The sequence below is a fragment of the Homo sapiens genome, chromosome X (assembly GCF_000001405.40).
Source record: "Homo sapiens chromosome X, GRCh38.p14 Primary Assembly".
NCBI lineage: Eukaryota > Metazoa > Chordata > Mammalia > Primates > Hominidae > Homo > Homo sapiens.
Window position 1 is genome coordinate 136494057 of NC_000023.11, and position 26282 is coordinate 136520338.

Below are 26282 nucleotides of genomic sequence, written 5' to 3' on the forward strand. Positions count from 1 at the left end.
TCCTTAGGTGAGTTAGGGATATAAAATAATTCCCTAAATGGCTGTGTAGGGCATCAGCCTCCTTCCATCCGTAGTTGTAGTTGGCTTAAAATTCACAGCTTTGCTTTGATTTTTGAGAGGGTGGTCTCTTTTTCAACAGATTATCCTTGTCATGGCTAACCTTACAAGTAGGCCCTAATAGCCACAATTTTTTTCACACTGACTTTTGTGGTTCCAGAAATGTTTCTATGGAAAATTTCATTTCTTTGGAGAGAATTCTAAATGGCGTGGATAGCTGGGATATATACAAAATAAATTCTGTATACATCTCAGTGTTGCTCGGGGTCTTCCCTGACCCAAGACTTAAAACATGGAACATAATACAGTAATACTCCACAAAGCATGAAAACACAGTCACGAAGTTAGGCATTACCAAAACGTCCAGCAGGTAAGTCTTCATCATTGAAGGTGAAAGCACTACAAAACACTTAACGACTCGCTTTTCTGCTGAAAATAGCAAATTTGGGTTTGCAGAATTTCTGCAGTTTGAGTCATCTTAGGTCAGGAATTCATCGATCTTTTTGTCAGAAAGGAGTCTTTTTAGTTCCACTAAGCCTTGAGATTATAGGATGTGGGGATAGGAAAATTCCTGGACAGAGTGGGCTTGAAGGGACCATTTTTTAAAAATCTGATTTGGTATAGTTCAGTAATTTTTCAGAAAGAGTTCTTAGGCCAGATAGGTGAGTCCTATCTGGAGTGCAGTCTCTGCTTTTGTAGGTTAATGTATATTTATCCACCAAGAAGGCTGTGGCCTATTAGGGCAGAAGTACAACACAGATCACCCCATATAAAGGTCAGAGGGAAGAATGAAGCACATATTCAGAGAGAAGCCAGCTATGTAGATTCTTCCTAGGTCCAGCATCCCTTTATGTGGCCCATCTACACTGCAGTCCTGGAGTTTCAGTAGCCGCCCCTATCTTTATAACCCACCCCCCTTTTTTTTTGTTACCTCGAGTGTTTCTATAACTTGCAAGAAAAAAAACTTGTAAAAGACAGGTTACAAAGACAGAGATGCTTTCAGATTACCTCAGTCATTAGGGAGTTATTCTATGAATATGCAGGGAAATGAGAAAAAATAGGAACCAGGCCTCACAGAGACCACAGCATTGTGCAATTATAAACTGCCAGTTCTCACGACCAAACAGAATGCCATTACAGGTACAATGTGTGTACCTCTCAACTCCACTGCCTCACTAGTATAGTGACTCAGTGACCCTTCTTCGCTGCTTCAGCTGCTCCTCTCACCCGTGGGGAACTTCTCCACAGCAGGCCTCTGTTCTGCCTTTTACCTTCCCTGGGAGTATCTCCTTGCTTCTTTGCTACTCTGACCACATCCCTGTATGTTCCATACTCAAACTTTCTGGGAGAGGTTCTTACTGGCTCAGTCAAATCCAGTCTAGAATGCAGAGCTATCTGCCAGGTCACCACACAGACCCTGGGCAGCCTTTGGGCCAGGATGGCTGGGTGACATGGGACATAAGCATAAGGAACCCTTTAAGTCACCTGCTCAAAAGACGGTTGTGGTAGAGCCGGCACTCAATGATATGTGCAGTAGGGTGGTGTCGCATATTATCACCTATGCTGTGAACTCGGGAATGAAATGGGAGCCCAATAACACATTGCTGAAAACAGCTGTATGCTATTTTTGGATCCAGGAAAAAATATTTAGCAAAGTTTAAGCCTAATAAAACTCACATTACCTATATCATAAAAGTGCACACAAATTCAGTTCTCCAAGAGTTCCTGCCAGAATGAGAACTTCATGAAAAAGAAATGTAATTTAAAAAAAAACTAACCCAAACTATTAAAAACTGTTGTTATCGTTGAAACCATAGATTCACACAACTGGTGTGTGGGGAGCCAGGATTTTCTAGAAGTAGTACTCAACTGCTATGTTTAGAAGTGAAGGTCACTGGAATAGTGAAATAATTTCTTCTGGTAAGGTTTTCCCGGACCTCAAGCCCGGGTTATGATATTTATGTTTACACTAATGGGTTCCTTATTATTTTAATGAATTAGTATTTTTTAACAGCCGCTTTCATTTTTGTGCAGAAATATTGGTAAGTATAAACCACAAACAAACGTTTTTTGGGGTTTTCAATGTTTTAGTGTAAAGAGGACCTGGAACCAAAAAGTTTGAGAACTGCTGTCCTCCAGCATCTCATATCTGTCAGGTGCCAACCATCTTAATTCTGTCTCCCCTGAGCTGTGCCTGTCTTGTCAACTCCTGGGTCGCCAGAGCCTCACGCAGTGCCCTGCACTTAGTAGGGGCTCAATAAATACCTGCCCAACTTAAAAATATGGACCTTTTCCTTTTCAGCAATGAGTGTAATTCCTGAAAACAAAGTTCTGTTTAGAACAAAAAGTATGCTGTGTCTTTCTAAAAGAATGACAAAGAAGCGGAGTTTCCCGGCCAATAAAGCTGGTGTTTACACTGGGATGTTTACATTTATGCTTAAGTTTCAAGTTCGAAGCTCGAGCGCCACTGAAATCTGCAGTACAAGAGGCAGGCAACTGCTGCCCTTTCCATCCTTCCCACGGAGTCGAACTCCAGCCAGAGGAAGGTATGAGACCGATAAAGGAGAAGGCTGACACCAGAAAAAGAAAGTTGGCCCTTCTACCCCTCATTCGTTCATTCATTCGCTCATTCCGCATTAGACACCAGAGCCGGTGCCAGGAGTTTAGGCTACCAAGATGAACAAGATCCGGTGTCTATCCCCGGGTGTCGTAAAGAAACAAGTAAAAGACGCGGTTCCTGAGCGGGGGAGGGGCCTTTGGGCGAAGGAGGCGCGTCGTTTTCTCGAAGCCAGAGAAATTTGTCCTGTCCGCCCCACCCACTCCCCTAAGATGGCGCCCTCGCGAAACCCGCCCGGCCACCCCCGCGAGGGAATATTCCCACGCCTTCCTTCCGTTTCCCTCCCGGGCCGGCCGATCCGCCGGGGACCCCGCGGAGCTCAAGGCCCTTGAGGCGCCGCGGGATCCCAGTGGCCCTCGCCCCGCCCCAAACCCGACCCCGGTGGGCGTCGACGCGCAGCAGCAGCGGGTCCCCCCAACCCCGGCGCCCCGCCTCCCCGGGCCTCGCGCCGCATGCCGGCGTCGGCGCTTTTTGACGCCATAGTGGGCGTGTCGGCGCGACCCGCGACGTCGCCACGCGCCGACAATGGCGGCTGCGTCGGCCTGAGCAGGGCTTAGTTTAGAAGTAATTTCCTGACGTTGCCGAGGGAGCCGCAGTCGCCTCAGATCCGGTCGGCGGCGGCGGCGGTGGCGGCGGCGGCAGCGCGCCTGCGCGCTCCCGCAGCGCCCTGGACCTAGCGGCGGTGCCGAGGCCCGGCGGAGCAAGCCAGGTGGGCGGCGGCGCGGCCGAGCTCACAGCATCAGCGCGCGCGCGCGGTGGGCGGGCAGAGAGGGGGGCGGTGCAGCCGCCGAGCGGCCGCGATTTCCCGGGGACTGCTGGGGCGCAGCGGGGAGGCGGGCCGGGGGGCGGCGGGGCGCGAGCAGAGCGCGGTTGACCTCCCTTTCTCTGCTCAGCTCCAGCGTCATTTCGGCCTCTTAGTTCTTCTGAACCCTGCTCCTGAGCTAGGTAGGAAACATGAGCGGCACCAACTTGGATGGGAACGATGAGTTTGATGAGCAGTTGCGAATGCAAGAATTGTACGGAGACGGCAAGGATGGTGACACCCAGACCGATGCCGGCGGAGAACCCGATTCTCTCGGGCAGCAGCCGACGGACACTCCCTACGAGTGGGACCTGGACAAAAAGGCTTGGTTCCCCAAGGTAGGAGAGTGCCACGGGCGCCACTGCAGAGCGGGCCGCCTGGCCAGCCTCGCGGGGCACTCCTTTTACGTTTGCTTTGCTGAGATCCTTGGTCCTTGGTCCTAGCCCCCTTGAATAGCGACGCTTCTTTTTGTTGTGTTTGTTGGGGCACCGATGTGTAAAAGAACGTAAATCTTTAGGGTAGTGTCTTAAATGTAATTTTTAAGTCTTTTCTATGCTTTATTAATCTTGTCTGTGAAGGTCACAGTTGATTATTACATGACTGCTTTTTATTGCAAAGAGGAAAAATACCAAGAACAAATTTAGTAGCTGTCCATTTCTGGTAGCCAACCCCACTTGTCCTAGGAACTCAGATGTTTAGCTTATGTACTATGTGCAAAATGCAGTTTCTTGATTTCTTTTTTAAAGTAGCTGTTTATATAGCTTTACTAATTGAACTTTCTTTGCACCTTGCTTTACTTTCCTAGTAAATTTTGTCCCTAGGCATATATGTTTGAACCATATAACCACAGGAATAAGACTGGAGATACACAGAATACAGATGGAAAATCTGTGTATGTTTGTTTGGAATACTTGGAAATTGCTAAGTATTTTTATTTCAGCTTCGAAGTAAAATAACTAATGTTAAACTTGATTCTGTAAACTTTGTGGTAAAAGTGCCCTTTTAATCTGGCTCTCATGAGCAGGAAAGGGCACACTAATAGCACACAAATTGACTTGCAAGTCAATGATACAAAACCTGTCTCCACTGCGCGACTGGACTGCTATTGTAAAAATTCTTTTGCAACTTTTCTTTCCCATTCTGTATTTGTATATATATTCCAATCCCTCCAGATTGTTAAAATTTACGATTTCACTTCTGTGTTGGTAGTGCTAGTTTGAGTGCAGATTTGGTTTCTTCAGCATTCTGAATACTTTTAACAAAGGTGTGATAATGGATTAATGTGTGACTTTATCCTTTTATGTTGTTGAAGCCCATACCTCTTCAAACTTTGGGTTTTACATTTTCCCCATTCCATGCCTGCCTAATATTGATTGGTATGATGATATAACTATATTTCTTTCGTTTTGCAATAACGCTTTTCCCCCAAAGGGGAGGAAGATAGATATGAGTTGGATTTGTCTTTAATTTGTTCTGATACTAAAATATAACGTCATTTAATTTGTGATAAAGTTAAAATGAGCATTTAGTTTTACAATTGTTAACCCCATTCTTTATATACCAAATCAGAGTTCTGTTCTGTGTGCTCTCTGCATACAGATATTTAAGTACTTATTGTACATGTATATTGGTGCATCTGTACAGTAAGAGAAAATTGGATTCTGTGGTTAGATTATTCATTGACTGTTGGTTTTTATTGTTTTATTATCTGGTTCTTCCTTTGTTGTATGTATTTGTAGCCTTAGTCAAGTAGTGTAGAGAGGTAGTAATTAATAAATGAAACAACTAGAAAAGGTGCCAGCATCACTTAAAATGCTTTAAATCGTATCTCAGACTTTTGCATTGATCATCTAAGTACTTGTGTCTTATTTTTTATCACCGTATGCACAATTTTCTATAGAAGGTGACTATTCTTGCATTTATACCTTAATAACTACAACTATTATCCACAGAAACACTTTTGTGTTAAGTTGTATAACTATGCTGTAAAAACACAATTTAAACTTCTTATGAGTGGAAATAATTTTGAATTTCTCTGTCCGGGTCTGTTGAATTGCTTGTGTAGATTACTGAAGATTTCATTGCTACATATCAGGCCAATTATGGCTTCTCTAACGATGGCGCATCTAGTTCTACCGCAAATGTTGAAGATGTCCATGCTAGGACTGCAGAGGAACCTCCACAAGAAAAAGCCCCGGAACCCACTGATGCCAGAAAGAAGGGAGAAAAAAGAAAGGCTGAGTCAGGTAAGTGGTTCTAGCTTACAAATTTTAAGTGTAAAAATTAAAAATATGGGTGTGCATAGGTACAGTTGCTTTTTCGAGAATTATAATAGCTTTGAAGGAATAAGGTGAGTTTTTTCTTTAAGGTAGTGTCAGTTATAAAGAATCAAGATAAACTGGCCATCTTTTTTCCAGATAGGGCTCTAAAACTAATTATTTCTCAAAAGATTTAAATCTTTTGAAAGCTGGGTAGTGATTTGAGTTAGTTTATCTTGGTCTTTTAAGAGTAACAGAAAGGTCGTCCTGGAAGTTTCAAGAAACTGCTGCTTTGTCAAGATTCCATAATATGACTCTTATCTTTTTTTGCAAGTGTTTTATTTATTTAATTAATTTTGATTTCTAGGATGGTTTCATGTTGAAGAAGACAGAAATACAAATGTATACGTGTCTGGTATGTATAACTTTTTAAACAGGTTTAAGGTAGGAAATACTTAATTTTGAGATTTTTCACGAAGTGATTTTTAGCTTTCAGTTTCTCCAGAGTCCATTTTTTATCATTGTGTCATTTTTTGTTCAGCCATTTATATTAGTAAGGAATATGTGTGTTCATTACAGAACCAAGAAATTTAGTGTGTAACTTTGCATACCAACCTTTAGGCCTGGTTAATGTAACTTACAGCAGTGTGTCCCTTCCCATTCAGTGAGGCCCTCAAGAAAGCATAATTTTAATGTATATTTGAACACACAAAAATGTGAAATTTCTTCAGTTCCGTAAATGTAAAACTTTTACATACATTTAGAAAATCAACATTGCATTCACCTAAGTTATAGATTTCTAATTGGTAGAATGCTAAGTAATTCACCTTCATTATCAATTATAAATGTTTTTTAATTTTTCTTAAATGACAGGTTTGCCTCCAGATATTACAGTGGATGAATTTATACAACTTATGTCCAAGTTTGGCATTATTATGAGAGATCCTCAGACAGAAGAATTTAAGGTCAAACTTTACAAAGATAATCAAGGAAATCTTAAAGGAGACGGTCTTTGCTGTTATTTGAAAGTAAGTTGTATGATCAAATAAGTTTCTTGTATCTTCGTTTTTAACTCAGGAACCAGGGCTATAATTTCTATAGATGATAACCAACACCAAGAACTGTTCAAAACAGGATATGAAGAAAACTGAAATTTCAGTTAGTACCTGTGTGTATCACATTGGTAAGATTATTCACTTGTTTTAAGAAAATATGTTATCAGGTAAAAGTATTATATAAGTATGCGACTGGAGTGCTTCTTCTGTCTTGAAAAATTCTCACTAGAAAGATTTTTTTATTGATGTGTACAGTCAATTCAGACTACATTTTAAAAATTCAAGAAGAAAAAAAGCCAGTAACATTTTAGTTGTCCATTGGAATGAATTACACCAGGGTTCAGCAAACTCGGGCTCTGTTTTGGTAAATACAGCTTTATGGAACACAGCCACACTAATTCATTTATGCATTTGTCTATGGTTGCCTTTGTGTTTCACTGATAGGGTTGAGTGGTTGCAGCACAGACCTTGTGGCCTACAAAGCCTAAAATATTTACGAACTGGCCCTTTAACAAAAGGATTTTTCTGACCCTTGAATTAGACCATGAAGGAGACGATAGCTTATTCTTACTGCTTTAAAATATTTTTTTGAATGTGAGAAAAGAGAGAGTGGTATTAAGAGAAATTTGCAGAACTTCATGTAGTCATAGTACCATAAATTACACAAAGAAACCTCAATGCCAGAGGCAGCCATCATTTCTGGAACACCTGCCACCTTAGGAGCATGTGTTATACATTATCACAGGGTACAGAACAAATGATGACATGTACATAAGTCAAACCTGGAAATAATTACAGAGTAAAGTCAAAATGGTAAAGCAAAAGTACAAACACCACAGGTGTGTTGTGAGTATACAGTATTCCAGTGAGATCAGAAGAGAGTAGGATTAAGCTGACAGCTTTTTGGGAAATAGGTTTTTGACCTGAATCTTAAACGTGATGGTTATGGGACATGAGCATGACCATTTTAGGATGGTAGTTTTGTAATGTTCAAATGTAAGGAGATTTGAGGGTTTTATAAGTTCTTTAAGGATTATTAAAAAATCTGCGAACAGATTCTTAGGGAGTTCTGTTAGATTTTTTAAATTTTTAAAGGAAAAAAATTGAGTTTTGAGACCCATAGAAGTACAAGATTGTCAAAACAGTAAATTGAGTTCCAGGAAAATATAGTGAATTATTCCAGGACCCATATATGTGAGCAGCTGAGTTCAGTTATCCATTTTTCTTTTCTACAGGTCCTCTGATCTTTGACTCTGTTTGTATAGGGCTGATAACTGTCCTTTCTCTAAGACCTGGAATCCATACATGTATTTAATATAAAGTACAAGTCATCAGATAATTGTCTTCTACTTCTCAGTGTATTACAGACTCACAATTTAATGGATGAACCAAAAAATTAAAGGCTGTCTATGGTGTTCCCAATTCCTTGAGTCATCTAGTCTTTTAAGTAAGAGTATTATAGAATTTTAAAAGAAATACACCTTAGAAATCATGCAGATTTGCTCCCTTCATTCTGCAAATGAGAAATTGTGGCCTCAAGAGACAAAATTACCCAATAATAATATTTATTGAACACCTACCATATGTTAGTCCTTATCCTTTCCATGCATTATTTCATTTAATTTTGTCAAGAACCTTGTGATGAAGGTATTAACTATTTCCATTCTACATACGACGATATTGGGGCTCAGGAAGCTTGAATAATTTACCCAAGTTCACACAGCCGGTTAGGGACAGCTGTGTCTCAGATGCGGGTTTCCTGGTTCAGATTCTAGAGTTCTTTATCTCAAAGAGAGAACGAGATCTCGTATATTCATAATATATAAATATAAGAATTTAAATTATTTTATGTATAATCATCGTTCATCTAAAAAACTCCTGAAGTTTTATTTCGTTGTATAACTGACTATATTTTGTCTTACATTTATAAAGAGAGAATCTGTGGAACTTGCATTAAAACTTTTGGATGAAGATGAAATTAGAGGCTACAAATTACATGTTGAGGTGGCAAAGTTTCAACTGAAGGGAGAATATGATGCCTCAAAGAAGAAGAAGAAGTGCAAAGACTATAAGAAGAAGCTGTCTATGCAACAAAAGTTTGTAATTTTTTTCCCTTTTGAAAGGTTCCATATATTCTAGAGTATATTTTTGGTAATAGCCATCTAGTTTTATTCTGTCAAGTGTGCCTACACATTATTTTAAAATAATTTCATTAGCTCATCAGGTACCTTTAGCAATCTATACAATAGGTTTAGATTTAGCAGTGGTGGGGATTTTAATTTTCCAGAGTGTCTATTTGTAATATAATAAGGGCTTAAATGAGCTAAGAGAAGCCATCTGTTTGGAAAACGTTGAACATCAAATTAAATAAGATAGTTTAGGCTTATGTACCAGAACCGTTTACTTCTGTGTGGATTGAAATCAGTGGTACCAGGAGCTAAATTTTTCTATACAGGTTTGTTATAGGAATTAGAAATGACAGGATTTTATAATTGTATTTACTGTAGTTGTATGTAGTATATACATAATGTCATCAAGTTTCTATTATTATTCTGTTTGTTTAATATACTTTGAAATATACTAGTTTTAAGAAATTAGTCAAAATGATAAATACTTTTATCAGAGTAAATTCTAATGACACTTCTAACACCATGCTTAAACTAATTAAATATCATAAAAGCATTTAGTTGTGATGTCTCATTGTTTTTACAAGTGTAGGTAAAATTGATAACCACATATTTTTTAAACAATATCAGTAAAATTTATGATTGTAACAGAGTTGAGTAGTTTTATGTATTTGAGTGCAGTTTGTTTTTTATAATGATAAAGTACCTAAAAACCAATACAATTTAAATATATTTTTTAGCCTCAAGGTATATCTTTCTGAACTCATAAATACTAAGAATTAGAGATTTTTCAAGGGTCTCATTGGAATGTTTGTATAATCAGACAACAGTTGCCCTGAAAAACATTTCATCTGGGGATTTCAGATACTGGGATCATTTTGCCTCTGCCTTTTATTTTATTTTATTTTATTTATTTGAGGCAAGAGTCTCACTCTGTCACACAGGCTGGAGTGCAGGGGTGCAATGTTGGCTCACTGCAACCTGTACCTCCGGGGTTCAAGCTATACTCATGCCTCAGCCTCCCCAGTAGCTGGGATTACAGACGTGCACCACCACGCCTGGCTGATTTTTGTATTTTTAGTAGAGATGGGGTTTCACCATGTTGGCCAGGCTGGTCTTGAACTCCTGGCCTCAAGTGATCCGCCCGCCTCGGCCTCCCAAAGTGCTGGGATTATAGGTATGAGCCACCGCACACGGCCCCCTGCCCATTATTTTTATTTCAGAAAGTTTTCTGACTGGAACTATGACTGAAATACAGTTTGTTGTTGTAAAATCCAGTAATTATCTTTATTAAATACTCAGTAAAGTATTGTATGAACAACTCATTCTTTTCTCTCTCCAACAAGTCTGAAGCAAAATTTACAGTTTGTTGTTACTGCTTCATTGCCTCAGGCAGTTGGATTGGAGACCTGAGAGGCGAGCCGGACCATCCCGGATGCGCCATGAGCGAGTTGTCATCATCAAGAATATGTTTCATCCTATGGATTTTGAGGTAGGAAGTGGTGTGCTTACTGATAGAAATGCTGATAGGCTTTTTTTCTCTCAAGGGAGCCTGGAGCTTGCCTCGCCTCATCTTTGTCTTGTCACCTCCTACGTGTTTGTGCAGCGAGTAGTAAAGGAAGATGGAGCCAAGAAGCTACTTAAGTCTTTTGATTTCCCTTCCCTTTGTTTAGCCCAGTATTGTTTTAAAGTGTATCACAGATAAGACTGTTTAATAACCATACTGCGCCCCAAGCAGCAGCTACTTGGTATGGGAAACCATTGAAAAATATCATCATCAAAAGATTTATGGGAACTGCTTGTGGATTTTCAGTGCAAGCCAACAAGTATGGCCTGATTTTGGTGGGGAGTACCAGCTTCACAATTGTAAATGCAAACTTCAGTTTGGTACTAAAAGTTATAATATTTAATGTCCGTGGAAAATTCCAAGAACAGCAAGTAAAAGTGAATAAGTACATCTGTTATGTATCAACTTTTTTAAGTGATTTTAAAAAAAGTTAATGGAACTGTCCTTCCTCCCCTCAAAAAAGTGAATAAAGGAGAAGCAAAGAACAAGGAGTTCTGAGGAATATTGTCATCAAAGTACCTTGTGTTACATTCTGCCTGTATTCTTATCTCTGTCTACTGGTGTAGACTGACTTTATTGTTGTGGAGAAACAACTCTTTATTCTCTCCCTGGTTCTGAAATTAGTGATAGCAAGTTATACAGAAAGCAGGTTATACAGATAGCAAGTTATACAGAGAAAAATGTTCATAACGTAAAATTCCGTTTTTACCAATAATCTAGTTGTAAATTAGTGCCCATTCCTGACCCTTTTGTGCATTTAAACAGTCAAAATGGTAATATAATTGTAGCTCCCTTAGAGAGGGCCCCAAAATGGACAGTTCAGCTCTATCTCAATGAATAGTGTTGTGATAAGGTTTACTGTGTACCTATGGAGTTTGGGCATCTTTTGAGGTCATTGGAAATATACGTCTGGTTTATTTATGAGATTGATTGATATCTCTTCTGACTAGAAATCTGGAAGAATTTTGAAATATAACAGTTTACAGTTTTACAGTTGCAGTGATAATGAAGTATGGTTTATAAACACGTGCACACCAGATGCATTTTGAAATACTGTTTTTGCCAGCAATAACTTTAAAATGAATGCATAGAATTACAAAAATATTAGCTGGGCATGGTGGCGCATACCTGTAATCCCAGCTACTCAGGAGGCTGATTCAGGAGAATCACCTGAACCCGGTAGGCAGAGGTTATGGTAAGATCGCGCCACTGCACTCCAGCCTGGGCAACGGAGCGAGACTCCATCTCAAAACAAAACAAAATAAAACAAAACAAAGAACCAGATCATAGTCATTAAAGCAGCATATAAAATAAATGCACAGATTGATCACAATATTTAGTCTGCTAAATACAACTCCGGGATTTCCTATTATTTATTACATTTTATCCCCCTGCTAAATAAGTGATTTATTAGGTGACATATTTATTTCTGTGACTCGAGGTCTTTGATTCACACATTTCATACTCCTGCCACCCAAGTGTGAATGTAAATGCAAACCTAATTCAAACTATCTGGAACCTCTGCAAGTAGAAGTCTGTTGTGTAATTTTAATCTATTCTTGTTTCTACCTCCTGCCTTGCTCATTGAAATACCTTATTTGAGTCTAAGGATCACCCCAGGCAGACTTAGCTCTTCCCAGCTTAACAAATATTCTTTCCCCAAAACCACATTTATTCTACCTTGACCCCTATACATTCCCTCCAGTGAATATTTTTAAAGATAGAAGTTTCATGCTTGCAAATTCCTGATTTTTTTTTTAATCTTCTTGGTTTAGTATAAACATTACTTTGGAGTTACAGAGCCTTTATACTACCCTATTTTGTTTCCTTCATAGCATTTATTATTATCTGAAGTAATTTTGACTCGTCTACTAGAATGTGAGCTCCATGACACCCAGTATTTTGTCTACCTTGTTTGCTGCTGTATTCTCAGTACATAGAATTTGCCTGGCACACAGTTGGCCCTTAATATTTATGTGATGAAGAATTGAAAGAATTGCTAAATGAAACCCTTGTTATTTACAAGCCAGAGTCTTTTCATTCAGCCAGTGGATAAAACATTTTCTCTTCAGCATCTTTGCAAATGAAAGCAAATTTTCTTCTTAGATGCTTATTCCACAAAGGATGGTGGGACATTGTCTTGGCCGTGGCGGAATTAGTTCACAAAGAAATGCTTGGTGATGCTATCCTTGTTTGCCCACCTTCCTGGCCTCACATGGTCCAACTAGCTTGCTGAGAGCGTGTCAACAAGAAGAGTGACAAATAATCTTGCTTTTGTTCACTGTCTCTGAGCACCTGAACCTCAGTGTAGACCTGTGCTGTCAGATATGGTAGACTGTAGCCATGTGTGGTTAAATGTAAGTTAATTAAAATGAAATAAAATTCAGTTCATCGCTTCTACTAGGCACATGTAGCTAGTAGCTACCATATTGGATAATGCAGATATACAACATTTTCATTATCACAGAACCTTCTATTGGACAACACTGGTATAGACATTATATAACTTTTGATAGAAGTGTCCAACAGGAAAACCTGCTTTTATTGCATGTTTTGGGGGAGTGTTTGATTTGACTCAAGACTCCATATGAACCTAAAGAACACACAGCAGCATTGAGCTTTTTAGTGGAAAACAAAAACTGAATTGTCAGGTTATCCTGAGATATCTGAAAGGAGTCAGATTTTGGGTGGAGGGGTATATTTTGATTCCAAACAGTTAGAAGCAACATACCTAAGAATACTGTCTGATCTGAAGGCTAACATTTTTAATGTAACTTCAGAGGGTCTTCAGTATTTAATTCAAATCCTTACTTTAAAATGCATTGCCTGGCAAATTTGAATACCAGGACATGAAGAGTCAAAACTCAAATGCATTAGCCGGGCATGATAGCACGCACCTGTAATCCCAGCTACTTGGAAGGCTGAGGCACGAGGATCACTTGAATCCGGGAGGCAGAGGCTGCAGTGAGCCAAGATCGCGCCACTGCACTCCAGCCTGGGCAACAGAGTAAGACTCTGTCTTCAAAAAAAAAAAAGAAAGAAAGCAAAGCACTGAGACATTGGTGTAGAAATGGAGGTGATGCCTACCCCCACCATGGAATCACGCTTCAATTTAAAAGTTGTTAAACATGTTGACACAGTTTTTTTTTTGTTTTTGATATAATCCTGATTTTCCTTGGTGAATAAAAGAGAGGTATTAGAAACAGTTTATCAAATTCTTAAAAAGATTTTCTTGAATATTGGCTTTGTACAAAAGTCTGTGCTATTTTCTGTGAGGTATCTGAAACTCAATAAAACAAAGGTCCTGCCTTCTGAAAGCACTCACTCTAATAGGAGCTAACCCCACACACACACACACATGTCAAAAGCCATAACTTTTATTCTCTACTCCTTATTCTTCTCAGGTCTGATCATTTTGTATAAAGCAAATTGGCTGCTTCTCCAAAATTGAGTTTTATAAGTGGGGAAGTCCAGAGTTCTGCCAACTGTAGTTTTAGAAGCCTCAGATTTATGCAAATGAGTATGATTTTATATTTTTTATTTTAAATCAGATTTCAGTAACTCCCTGCCAGCTTATTTTTGCTTTTTGAAGAACCTTATGGGAGGAAAGCCACAATTCTCTATAGTTCCTCTTTAGCTGATGAGAAAAATGAAAGCGTGTAAGAAAGATAGATGCGCTTAAATGTTTCCTAGAAAGTATAAGTCACCTTCAATAGAAATTTGTAGATAGGATATCTTCATTTATATTTGTATATAGTTGAAATTCAAGCTGATAATGTAGCTTTTCCTGAGCCCTTTTTATGCATTGGTACTTGGAGAGAGATTTGTTAATTCCCAGAGGGAATCTTAAATCATTTTGTTGTTATAGGGAGATTTCCACCCGAACTCTAGGCTACTAGAAACAGCAGTACTTGAATGTTCTTAATAGGCTCATAGTTGCAAGAAAGCAACAGCTAAGAATGTATTTTATTGCATGCTTAATAACAGCTCCTTATTTGTATGGTTCTGTTACAATGTGGTAGGAGACAAGACGAACAGTAATCCTTACGATGTTTATTCTGTGAGTTAAAATAGCATCTTGGAAGCACAAAAATCAATCTTAGGACACTTAGTCAATAAAAGGGATATATTGCTCTCTCTCTCTCCATTACAACATTTCTGTAAATAGGAATGTATCCAAAACACAAAGCAAAGGGCTCTTATCAGTGTGATGTTGATGCCCATGCAGAGCATAGGAATTAGCAGTCTGACTGAATATGCGCCACAGGACTTCCACCATCTTCTCCTGCTCTGCCACTGTAGGCCCCTTCTGCTGCCTGCCATACTTGTCCATTTCCTTTGTTTAAAGCAGGGCAAACCTATAGGAGTAGCAGTGTATGTAGTAGTATAATTTTATTTGATTTTGAGTTTTTAAAAAATTGTATAGAATGAAAAACACAACCTTAAGCAAAACCTTTTTCTGTTTGTTGATTTATCAGAACAAGAAATTGGATTCTCAGGATTTATAGTTAAAGAAGGGAGCAAACCCATTTTAATCATGCATATTTTTCAGGATGATCCGTTGGTGCTGAATGAGATCAGAGAAGACCTTCGAGTAGAGTGTTCGAAGTTTGGACAAATTAGGAAACTCCTTCTCTTTGATGTAAGTTCATGGCTTGGACATATGGATCCTAAAGCAATAATTCCTCCACCTTATAAGTTCTTCTCAGATGTTAGTATACCCCTGAATTTTAGATTAATGTTTTTATATAGTAGTCCACTATCTTGTGATAATCATCTATTAGCAATAATGAGATGAACGTGGATTACAAGCCAAGGATTTGATAGATTTGGTATGCCTTGCTTATTTTCCGTCTTCATTACCCTAGAGTACATGATCAGGTGAAAGAAGGTACAGGAAAAATGTATGAGATCTCTGGTTCCCTATTAGTCACATTTTCCCCTCTTTGTGAATTATTCTCATCCTCCATATTTGGAACAATCAGGGACAATATTCTCCTGTATATTTCCTCTTCTCATCCTCTTTTTACTTCCAGAATTGACACCCAATAATTAAGAGTCACCATTTATTGCTTGTGTATTACAAGCTACTTTACATGTTATCTCACTTCTCAAAACCCTTTGAGGCAGGTTAGCACTATTACACCCATTTTACAGATGAGGAAGCTAACACTTTAGAAATTGAACACCTGGCTCAAGGTTGTTCATTTGGTAACTGACAGAGCCAGGATTTAATCCCAGGGCAATATGACTTCAGAGTTTACACTCTTAACAATTATACTGTCCTGCTTCTCATTAGACAGGGATGTCAGCAGAAACATTTCCAAGGACATTGTGCTTGGTTCTTGCTAGGTAAGATTGAGGTAAAGAAGCAGCTGACTGCACGTGACTGGCTGGGATAAAATGGAAGAAAGACTTCATACATAAAGTCTTTTACTTCAGAGTATCAGAGAGAACACTACTACTTACCTACTTTGTGAAATGTATGTGTTTTATTTTTAATCTTATCATTCATTCCTTTTTTTTCTTTCTTATCTTTCTAGAGGCACCCAGATGGTGTGGCCTCTGTGTCCTTTCGGGATCCAGAGGAAGCTGATTATTGTATTCAGACTCTCGATGGAAGATGGTTTGGTGGCCGTCAAATCACTGCCCAGGCATGGGATGGGACTACAGATTATCAGGTAAATTTTGCTGCTTGTCAAGGGCACACACATTGTTTCATTACCAACAAATACTGATCCTTCAGATCTAAATTTTGGGTTTGGTTTAACCTATTTAATGTAACAATGCTTCTTTTATTTTTATTTACTTATATATTTTAATTTTTTACTCTTCCTCTTAATTATTTACAGTGCTGCTTTTAAATAATATTTTGCATTCAGAAGATAGAGAAATGTTTGAGTCTTTCAGTTTCTAAGTCTGAAAGTTTGAGGCTTGTTCAGAATAGTGATAAGAAAAGAACACATTCAACCAAATGTTACTCTTCCTTTGTATGCTGTAAAGTATAGACAGAGCTCAAATATTAACTTTTTAAGAGATGAGACATTTCTGCAGTACTGTGATATTTGGCCTTTATTTAAGTGGTCTTATTTAAGGTCAACTCTAGTAAATCAAGATGTAAAGTTTTGAAAACTGAAGATGGAATTGCTTTCATTTCCTAATAAGAGATGCTTTATAAAATTAAGGTTGTTTCATCAATATTAGATATGTTCAGAGAAGTAACCTTTTGCCTGAAACTTATTTTAATGGCAGTCTCCATTTATCCACAGGTGGAGGAAACCTCAAGAGAAAGGGAGGAAAGGCTGAGAGGATGGGAGGCTTTCCTCAATGCTCCTGAGGCCAACAGAGGCCTTAGGCGTTCAGATTCTGTCTCTGCTTCCGAAAGGGCAGGGCCTTCTAGAGCAAGGCATTTTTCAGAGCACCCCAGCACATCTAAAATGAATGCTCAAGAAACTGCAACTGGAATGGCGTTTGAAGAACCTATAGATGAGAAGAAGTTTGAAAAGACAGAAGATGGGGGAGAATTTGAAGAAGGTGCTTCTGAAAACAATGCTAAGGAAAGTAGCCCCGAAAAAGAGGCTGAAGAAGGCTGCCCTGAAAAAGAATCTGAAGAGGGCTGCCCCAAAAGAGGGTTTGAAGGCAGCTGCTCCCAAAAAGAGTCTGAAGAAGGCAATCCCGTAAGAGGATCTGAAGAGGATAGTCCTAAAAAAGAGTCTAAAAAGAAGACACTCAAAAATGATTGTGAAGAGAATGGCCTTGCAAAGGAATCTGAAGATGACCTCAACAAGGAGTCTGAAGAGGAGGTTGGCCCCACAAAAGAGTCCGAAGAAGATGACTCAGAGAAAGAGTCTGATGAAGACTGCTCTGAAAAACAGTCTGAAGATGGCTCCGAAAGAGAATTTGAAGAAAATGGTCTCGAGAAAGATTTGGACGAGGAAGGTTCTGAAAAGGAGCTTCATGAAAATGTTCTTGACAAAGAGTTAGAAGAAAATGACTCTGAAAACTCCGAATTTGAAGATGACGGCTCTGAAAAAGTGTTAGATGAGGAAGGCTCTGAGAGAGAGTTTGACGAAGATTCAGATGAAAAGGAAGAAGAGGAGGATACATATGAAAAAGTATTTGATGATGAGTCTGATGAGAAAGAGGATGAAGAATATGCAGATGAAAAGGGGCTTGAAGCTGCTGATAAAAAGGCGGAAGAAGGTGATGCAGATGAAAAGCTGTTTGAAGAGTCAGATGACAAGGAAGATGAAGATGCAGATGGAAAGGAAGTTGAAGATGCTGACGAAAAGTTGTTCGAAGATGATGATTCCAATGAGAAGTTGTTTGATGAGGAGGAAGATTCCAGTGAGAAGTTGTTTGACGATTCTGATGAGAGGGGGACTTTGGGTGGTTTTGGGAGTGTTGAAGAAGGGCCCCTATCCACTGGCAGCAGCTTTATTCTCAGTAGCGATGATGATGACGATGATATTTAATCCCTTAAACTTGCTTTTTAGGGAGAGTCCTCCATCTACATTTGCCTGTGCTTCAGGGTAATTACTAGTAGTGTTACATGAACATGTGCATAGTGGTAGGATGCCATCAGATTAAAGCATTGAAGTGTTTCATTGTTACCTGTACCTAATGGTTTTAAATATATGTTAATTGATTGTTTAGTTAAAATGTCATAGTTACAATGCAAGTAAACTGGATACTTGTTCTTTTGTCAGATTTGTTAAATGCATGCAGAATAATATTTTTAAGAGTATTGATTGAAGTTTGTGATATTCATCAATAAAAATGAGTTGATAATATGCAGAAACTGAAAATTGGACTTGAGTTAAATTGCATTTTAAATTCTTGATATTGCTTTATTTATACTGAAGGTTGGCTTTTCTGAGGACTTGAAGAATCTCTTTGGAGTCTCCTTGCTTCCCGCTGGTATTAGCACGTATGTCTCCATTTCCTCTCTATAAACCAGAACATGTTCCTAAACTCAGAAAACAACCCTCTGGATTTTTTTTTTCTGCCCAGTCCTTGCAAATTAACTCTTGTTTGTTTTCTACCCTCTTTCCATTAAAATTGACTCTCAGATGTGCAAAAGTGAACTTCCTGCAGTCTACAGCTCCCATTATTATTAAAAATCTAAAGAAACAGATTAGAATTCTACCTTGTACTGTTAGCGTCTCTGGGCCCCTTTAGAAGTTAATTCAAATTAGAGGACCTCTTCCCAGAAAAAAATGTACACACTACACTACACAACTTGTGTACTGTTTGGGGAGGTTCATGGATTCCCTGAAGTTGAAGAACTTCATGCATGCTTCAGTTGTTCGTTTTTTTAGAATCATAGTGCCTAGCACTGTGCAAAGTTGTGTAGTCCCAATAAAGTTATGGGTCTTTCTTGATTATGCTTTCCAAATTCAGTAGTGATGAATTTACTTCTGATGTAGCATTAAGAAGCTATTCTTAGAAATTAGGAGCATTAAAATAAACTGCATTGATGCTCTTTCATTACAGTATATGTAAGTGTAAACCTCTAGATAGAGAAGAGTTCCTATACTTCAAGTCTGTTTTTATTTTGAGAATTTTTTACTTGATGTCTGGGATTTCATAAAATCTTCAGGATTTTCACCAGGAATAAGTCAGTAAACGAGGTGAAGAAAAGTTAAGTATAGAAAAATTGCAAACCAAAATAGTGTTTCCTTTACAGATAAGCCAGAAGCATTTAAACTTGAATTTATTGGAAAATTAGTTTTCTAAATGAAAGGAAAAGAATGCTTTACCTTCCATACACAGTGGTTAGGATGCATAACTCTACAACGTAAATTAGCTCTGAGACCATTAGGAGAATTCGTTTCATTCTTTACATTAAAATTTATAATTTTGGAAATCCAGAATCTCTCAAAAGAATATACTATCCATCTAGTCTGTTGTTTTAGATACTAACTGTTGCTTAGTAAAGACTCCCTGCCACAATTTTGGGCTGGGAAATACATTAAAAATAGAGTAAACTTTCACTATTTGGTGGGTTTTGTCTAAAGTCATTGCCACCCCTGGCAGGTTAACCATCTTCTGTGTGAACTCAAGTGTGTGTGTTTGTGTGTGTGCACAAGTGTGTGTGAGTGGATTTCAGTTATGCGATACTGTCCCGAATATTTTGACTTCAATTTGGTTGATATCACATACTCAGGTTCTTTTCATATAAACAACACTGGAAGTGAAAATCACAAACAGCTGTAAAATGGTAAATAATTTATGAGGTGATATAAACAACAGAAATTAGAGTCATAAAGCACACATAGCTACCTGTTTACTGAGTAATCAGATTTTATTAGTCCTGAAAACTGAATTTAATGTGAGGCAAGAATACATCCTATCATCAAAAGAAAATGGGGGCAGGATGGATTTTAAGCCCAGCAATGCTCCACTATCACCTGACGACTACTAAGTTTAATGCTCCTTATAGCTATAATTTACACAAAATATTAGTGCATTCAGTCCTAAATGTATAAACCAGAAGTGGCTTCAGGCATAACTTGAATGGCTTGAATGCCCTGCTGTCTGAGTCCACAAGTACCTTGTACAAGAACAAACATGAAACTTCATGTTAGAAAAAACTATTTCTGGTCTTTGCAATATTAATGAAATACTGAAATTATTACTGCTTTCTACAAAAGAAATAAGGGCAAAATTGGAGTAACTCAAGTATCTGTTTCCCTTCCTTCTCAAGTAGTAATAGCTCTGGGCTCTTTGTGAAGCCCTGAGGAGCCAAGTCCAGTTCATTTGGAAGCCACTACCTCTTCCTTTTCAGAGTATAATCTATTTTCCTGACGTAAATTATTTGGTCATTTCTGAGGCTTGGCAGGAAGGTAGGGATTAGCTAATATTCTGATTATGCCTTTCTCAATCATGTGAGTGATTTTTTGAAAAGTAAACCAAATATTTCTACGTAATGCAGAGAAGTGCTCTTAATTAGTTTGAACAAAGCCATGGCCTGGAGGACAGTAGAAGGCTTACAAATTTGCGCTTTGTGAATATTTGTCAGTTTTCTTATAGATTTTTCCTTATTGAGTCTCTTTCAGATACAAGCTGTATGCCCTTTCTTTGGATGGTAACTTCATTTAAAATGAGTTTGCTCAAACGGTTTTTGCCTCTTATCACACCTCGTTTACATGATGGGCTTTGTGTATATCTTCCTAGTACTTCCCTGATGGAAGAAAAAAATGTTAAAATTATTCCCTTCTAAAATCACAAATTGATACTGCAGATAGCCTAAATTCTTGGATGCCAGTTATTACAGGGGACGATTGCTTGAGAAAAAGACTTCATAGTATAAAGTTGACTTTTAGCTATTCAGAGCCCCACAGGTCTGTTTTACTTTCCATTCAAAACCAAGAAGATACTGCTCTTATGGTATGCCAGATGTGTTACACTCAAATATCACAAACAGATTGGCTTATAAACATATTTGAGTTATCTGTGAAACTTCAAGGCTGTGCTATTAAGATGCGCCGGTCGTCCCAGGCTAAAGAAAGCTAGGCCAGCAGTGGAGCACAAAGGTGGCTTTTTTGCTTCCAGTGTTCTACTTTTTGCACCACTTCTTAATGTTAAATAGCAGTGAGAATTAGAAGAGTCAAGCTCTAAGAATAAAAGACCTTTTGATTTGCCTTCTTCCAGGTTTATAATAGAAATTAGGCTTAAATAATGATAAACCTGCAACATATTCATGTAAACATTTCTAGACTCATCTATGTGTCTGACTTTAAAGTTTGAAAATGTGATTATCTTGACCCCTTCTTTCTTTTTTCTTATTTTTATAATACCTTTTAAATAAACAGCATACACTTTGCTTTTTTAGGTGATTCTTAAGAAATTAGAGAATAGGTTAATAAAAATGTATACAGCACTTGGATGCTTTTAATGTCACGTTTCACTGGGAATATATTGATTATCATATTGAAATACTAGTAGTGTTAGGCTATTGATTTATCATATTTACACTTACTATAGCATCTATTTAATGTGGTTCAATTAGCAAGTTATGTATTTGGCTAGTATGTACCCAATAATATGCTAGATGAAATGGGGCAGTGAAGAAAACGTGGGCCCTCCTCAAATGGCAGTTGTAATGTCTAGATTGAGACAGCCCCCCCCAAAAAAAAAAAACCAAAACAAAAGCCATCAATCCAGCAATAGTGCTTCTATAGCCTAGAACAGTGCCTGGCACATAGTGGGGGCTCAATAAATATTTGTTAAATGAATTAATTTATCCCATGGATAGACTTACACACTCATTCATTTGCTGAGGTTCATTTATGTCACTACCACCTTGTCATTATTCTTGTTGATTTCAATATCAAGGTAATTGATTCTATTCTTCCACTAGTCTTTCTACCTCAGCAGCCCAACTCTTCAAACCAGAAATCTAGGAATCATCTTAGATTTTTTTCTCTCTCTTTCACCTCCCCCACCCCACATTCATTTCCTTTTGGCTCAAACTCCAAATATATCCCACATCTGAATATTTCCCATGTCTACTCCCACCACATTAGTATGAACCACCATCATCTCTCACCTGCTTGCCTAAAAAAGCCTCCAAGATGGACTCCCCATTTGTTCTCTTGTCCTCTTCCAAATAATTTATACAACAGCCAGGGAGATTTAAAAAAATCACTGCCCCAAATGCCCTGATGTTTTTCTATTACAATGCTTTAATAGTACTTGAAATCCAAACTCCCTCCTATGGCCGGGCAACAAGGCCTTGAATGGTTTTGGCCTTGCCTGCCTCTCCAGACTCATCTCAAAACTTTGCCTAGTCCACCACTCTTCAATCATACAGGCATTATTTCAGTCTCTCATGCCTACCTCAGGACCTTTGCACATACCTCCACCTGGGATGCTCTTTTCCCAGCCAAGCTGGGCCTTTCTCATCTTTCAGACTGCTGAATTATTACTTACTTAGAAATCCTCACTATGGTAACCCATCACTCCTCCCCACCCAAATCTCCCTTGATGCTATTACTGATGAACCTTCTCAGAGTAATTATTACACTCTCAGATTATCTTGTTTGTTTACTTGTCTTCCTCTTGCTCCTCCTTCCACCACCCTAGCAGCATGCCAGTTCAAACAGCAGGGCTTTGTCCCAGTCTCTGCTGTAACTCCAGTGCCTGGAATAGTGACTGACACATAATCGACAACCATTTTTTTAAAAAGGTTGAGAATAATCATCATGAATGTGTTGTATTCTTTTAGGAGCTCCACTTTCTTAGAAGAATGTGAAGAACTTTGAGTAGGTCAAGGAAAAGGGAACAGTAACAGTTATTTCTAACATAAAACCAATGAGATAAGATTTTGAAAACACAAGGCTCACAAGTAGAGTTAGTCACTGAGGACAAAAAATTATATTATTACAGTTTTATTCTTCCTAGGGAACTGGATTTCAATAATAGCAAAATGTCTTGGCAAGATGTATTAAGCTTTTGAATAGCTAATCACTAGGGCTTCTCAGTGGGGAGCTTATGGAATTCCTCATTTCTCTTACTAGATGTAAAAATGTCTTTCTTAAATGAACTATGTGAAATTTCTTTTGGAAAACCCCTTGGTTTGATTTCTAAAATGATTTGATTCTCTGATTTCCCCACACTCTTCTTCCCTGCCATTTTATTCTCTCTATCTGCTCTGTAGACGACAAGAAATTTTACCAAAATCATGTTATTTACAAATTTGTTTAGATCCCTTTCAGCCTGACAACATTTATTATCTCTAATCATTAGAAAAGTATCTACATGTTTGATTAAAATGAAGAAATAGGAGCTCAATTCAAATGCAAATGTTTTATTACTGCAGGAGAGTAGGGAGTTGGGCCAATTGGCAATAAGACTATATTTCACTTATTTATTTACCAATATTTCTGTTACAAACTTGGTGTTCTCAGTACCAAGGTACTGAGCTTCATTCTCCATTCCACTTGATATTGAAATCACCAAGAATGATGACAAGAACAATGGTGAAGTCAACAAGCCACTTCCAATGAATGACTAGGAGTGCACATGAATATCCGTGGAGTACAAGAACAGACCTGCGAATCTTAGAACTGTAGCCTGTTTATATCTGAGTTTTTGGGAGTTTGCTTATGAAACTTTCAGAAGTGCTAGTTAGACTGTTCATTGATACAATGAATACAGGCTGTGAGCCAGGCATTGTTCTAGGTCTGGGCATACAAGAATCAATAAGGGGGAATTGAGAAAAGATAGACAATATGCATATATTTTTAAAAAGATAAATTCAGATGGTAAATGCTGGGAACAAATTCAATCAATCAGAATGATGCACTAGAGACAACTTGTGGGGAGAAAATTCTTAAGCTGGGGAGATAGAGTGAAGGTTGCTGAGGAGGTGATATTTAAGCCAATACCCAAATGATGAGAAAGAACTTGCCTGGTGAAGAGCTGGGAGAAAATGATTCTAGGCAGAGAAAGCAAATGAAAAGACACTGAGGCAGGAAGAAGCTTGGTGTGTCCAAGATCCAAAACAGGCCAGTGTGGCTGGAGCAGAGTGAGTGATGGATAGAGCGGTGGAAGATGATGTTTAAGAGGTAATGCAGGCCAGACTGGGAAGAAGAGGGACTTGAAAGTCATAGAAAGAGGATGGTTTTTATTCGGAGTGTAATGGAAAGCCAACAGAGGGTCTATTTTTAAACAAAGCAGTGATGCAATCTGATTTATGTTTTAAAGGGATCTTTTTAACTGCTGTGTGGAGAATGAACTGGAAGAAGGAGATTAGAAAGGAGGCTATTTCAGAAGTCCAGGCAAGCAAAGATGGTGGTTTCAATGAAGGTGGTAGCTATGGAAGTAGAGAGAAGGGATTGGATTCAGGACATATTTTGGAAGTAGATATAACATGAGGGGATGAGGATGTTAAGAAGTTTGGATTTTACAATAAGTACAGACGTTTCTATTATAATGATAACTCTGAAAAACTTTATAGTATGCAAAAGTGTGTGCTAAAAATAATAGGGCTTATAGGAAATGTACGGTTAGGGCAAACCCTCAAAACCCATGGAAATTTGTAATAGAGCATTAAGAAGAACAATAGCAATTGCAATACTGTAAAAATGAAGTTTTCTCTCTGATGACGTTTGCACCCCACATCCCAGCCAGTTAATGCATCATAGACTTAAACTCTGGGTCAGCTTCCTCCTCCAAGATGTGAGTCCTAGAGGACATTCACTTCTAATAGAGACCATTTTCATCAAAGTTAAGAAAGTGATCTAGGACATCGCCTTTTTCATTTTTCATGGTTTAACAAGGGGTTTTAAATGTTAACATCATTTAACATTTATGGCTTTGCGGCATCTTCATCTGTACTCGCAGCCTTGTCAGATAGCTTAACATAGAAAAAACTATAGCCAATATTTAAACCATGTAATTACCCACACTAGTACTAAAGAAAGGTCTCTTTGTAAATTTCCTGCTTTTTGCTCAAGGTCTCCATATATTACTAAGACCTTCTTTTTAATGGTGTGAAAGTTTGCCACAGATCATCTCAAAATGTTAACGTGCTAGAAAAATGATGTGTAAACCAACGCTTTCTATGTTATACCAATATTATTTCCCTAATGCTTATTAAGTAAAAAGAAAGCCTTTGGACCTGTTAAGCAGAGGAGTGATGTGATCTGATTCGTGCTTCAGAAAGATCATTCTGACCGCTGAGAGGAGGACAAACAGTGAAGGGCTGGTGGGAAAAGGTGGCCGCAAGGGGTTGCTGCAGTAGTCCAGTTGAGAGGTGATGGTTAATAGATGGTTAGGCAAGGCTAATAGTGGAGATGGTGAGAAATGTCTGTATTCATTCTAGATATATTTTGGAGGTAGCAGTAATAGTATGTGCTAATGGAGTTAAAGTAGAAATTAAGGGAGACAGATTAAGGGAAAGGATTAAGGGTAAGAGATCAAGAATGACTTTCTAGGATTTTGTCCCGGGCAACTGAGTGACTGACGGGTGGTTTTAGTAACTGTGGTAGGGAAGACTGGGGAAGGAATAGGTTTGAGGAGTGGAGCAGCTGAAGGCTTCTGTCTTGGCTATGTGAAGTTTGGGATGTCTGTATGACATCTAAGGGAGATGCCAAATAGGCAATCAGACTTAGACTTGTAAGTCTAAAGCTCAAGGATGAAGTCAGAGCTGGAGATATAAACTTGGTGACATTAGCATGTTGCTCATATTTAAAGCAAGGGACTGAGGAGCTGTCCTCAGGAGAGAATATAGAGAGAGAAGAGGAGAGGACCAGACCACCCCTCCCACACTTGAGCATTTGGAGGTGAGACACAGGAGAAGGGGCCAGAAAAAGAGATCGAGAAGGAGTGCTCAGTGATGCAGGAGAAAAACATGAGAAGGTGAGTTTCTGGAAGGCTAGAAAAGAAAATATTTCAAGAAGGAATGGTCAAAAAAAAAAAAAAGAAAAAAAAGGAAGGGTCAGCTGTGCCAAATGCTGCTAGAAGGTGAGACTGAGGACAGAAAGCCGGCCATTGCCTTTGTCAAGTGGGAGGTTGTTGGTGATCTTTATTAAAAGTCATTTCAGATCAAGTGTGGTGGCTCATGCTTGTAATCCCAGCACTTTGGGAGGGCAAGGCGAGCGGATCACTTGAGGTCAGGAGTTCAAGACCAGCCTGGCCAACATGATGAAACCCAGTCTCTACTAAAAATACAAAAAACTAGCCAAGTATGGTGGCGTGTGCCTGTAATCCCAGCTACTCGGGAGGCTGAGGCAGGAGAATCACTTGAACCTGGGAGGCAAAGGTTGCAGTGAGCCAAGATTGCACCACTG

General features: G+C 38.7%; 1 protein-coding gene across 2 annotated transcripts, besides 1 other annotated feature; it reads left to right on the forward strand.

Moving 5' to 3' along the window:
- Positions 2877 to 3546: a silencer, noted in NCBI's record as "silent region_21027". NCBI's record gives its function as "represses an Ori minimal core promoter by ATAC-STARR-seq in GM12878 lymphoblastoid cells {active_cell/tissue: GM12878}" and the evidence as "EXISTENCE:reporter gene assay evidence [ECO:0000049][PMID:35858748]".
- Positions 3173 to 18290, forward strand: HTATSF1 (HIV-1 Tat specific factor 1). 2 transcript variants are annotated; one of them, NM_001163280.2, is made up of 10 exons: positions 3173 to 3383; positions 3568 to 3814; positions 5542 to 5722; positions 6102 to 6149; positions 6608 to 6762; positions 8722 to 8885; positions 10308 to 10407; positions 15035 to 15124; positions 16026 to 16163; positions 16752 to 18290. In NM_001163280.2, exons 2-10 carry the CDS (start codon positions 3629 to 3631, stop codon positions 17955 to 17957), a joined length of 2268 nt encoding a protein of 755 aa, NP_001156752.1. In that variant the 5' UTR covers positions 3173 to 3383; positions 3568 to 3628; the 3' UTR covers positions 17958 to 18290. The 2 variants fall into 2 exon arrangements, with proteins under 2 accessions (NP_001156752.1, NP_055315.2); NM_014500.5 differs by lacking the exon at positions 3173 to 3383 and having other exon boundaries at positions 3536 to 3814.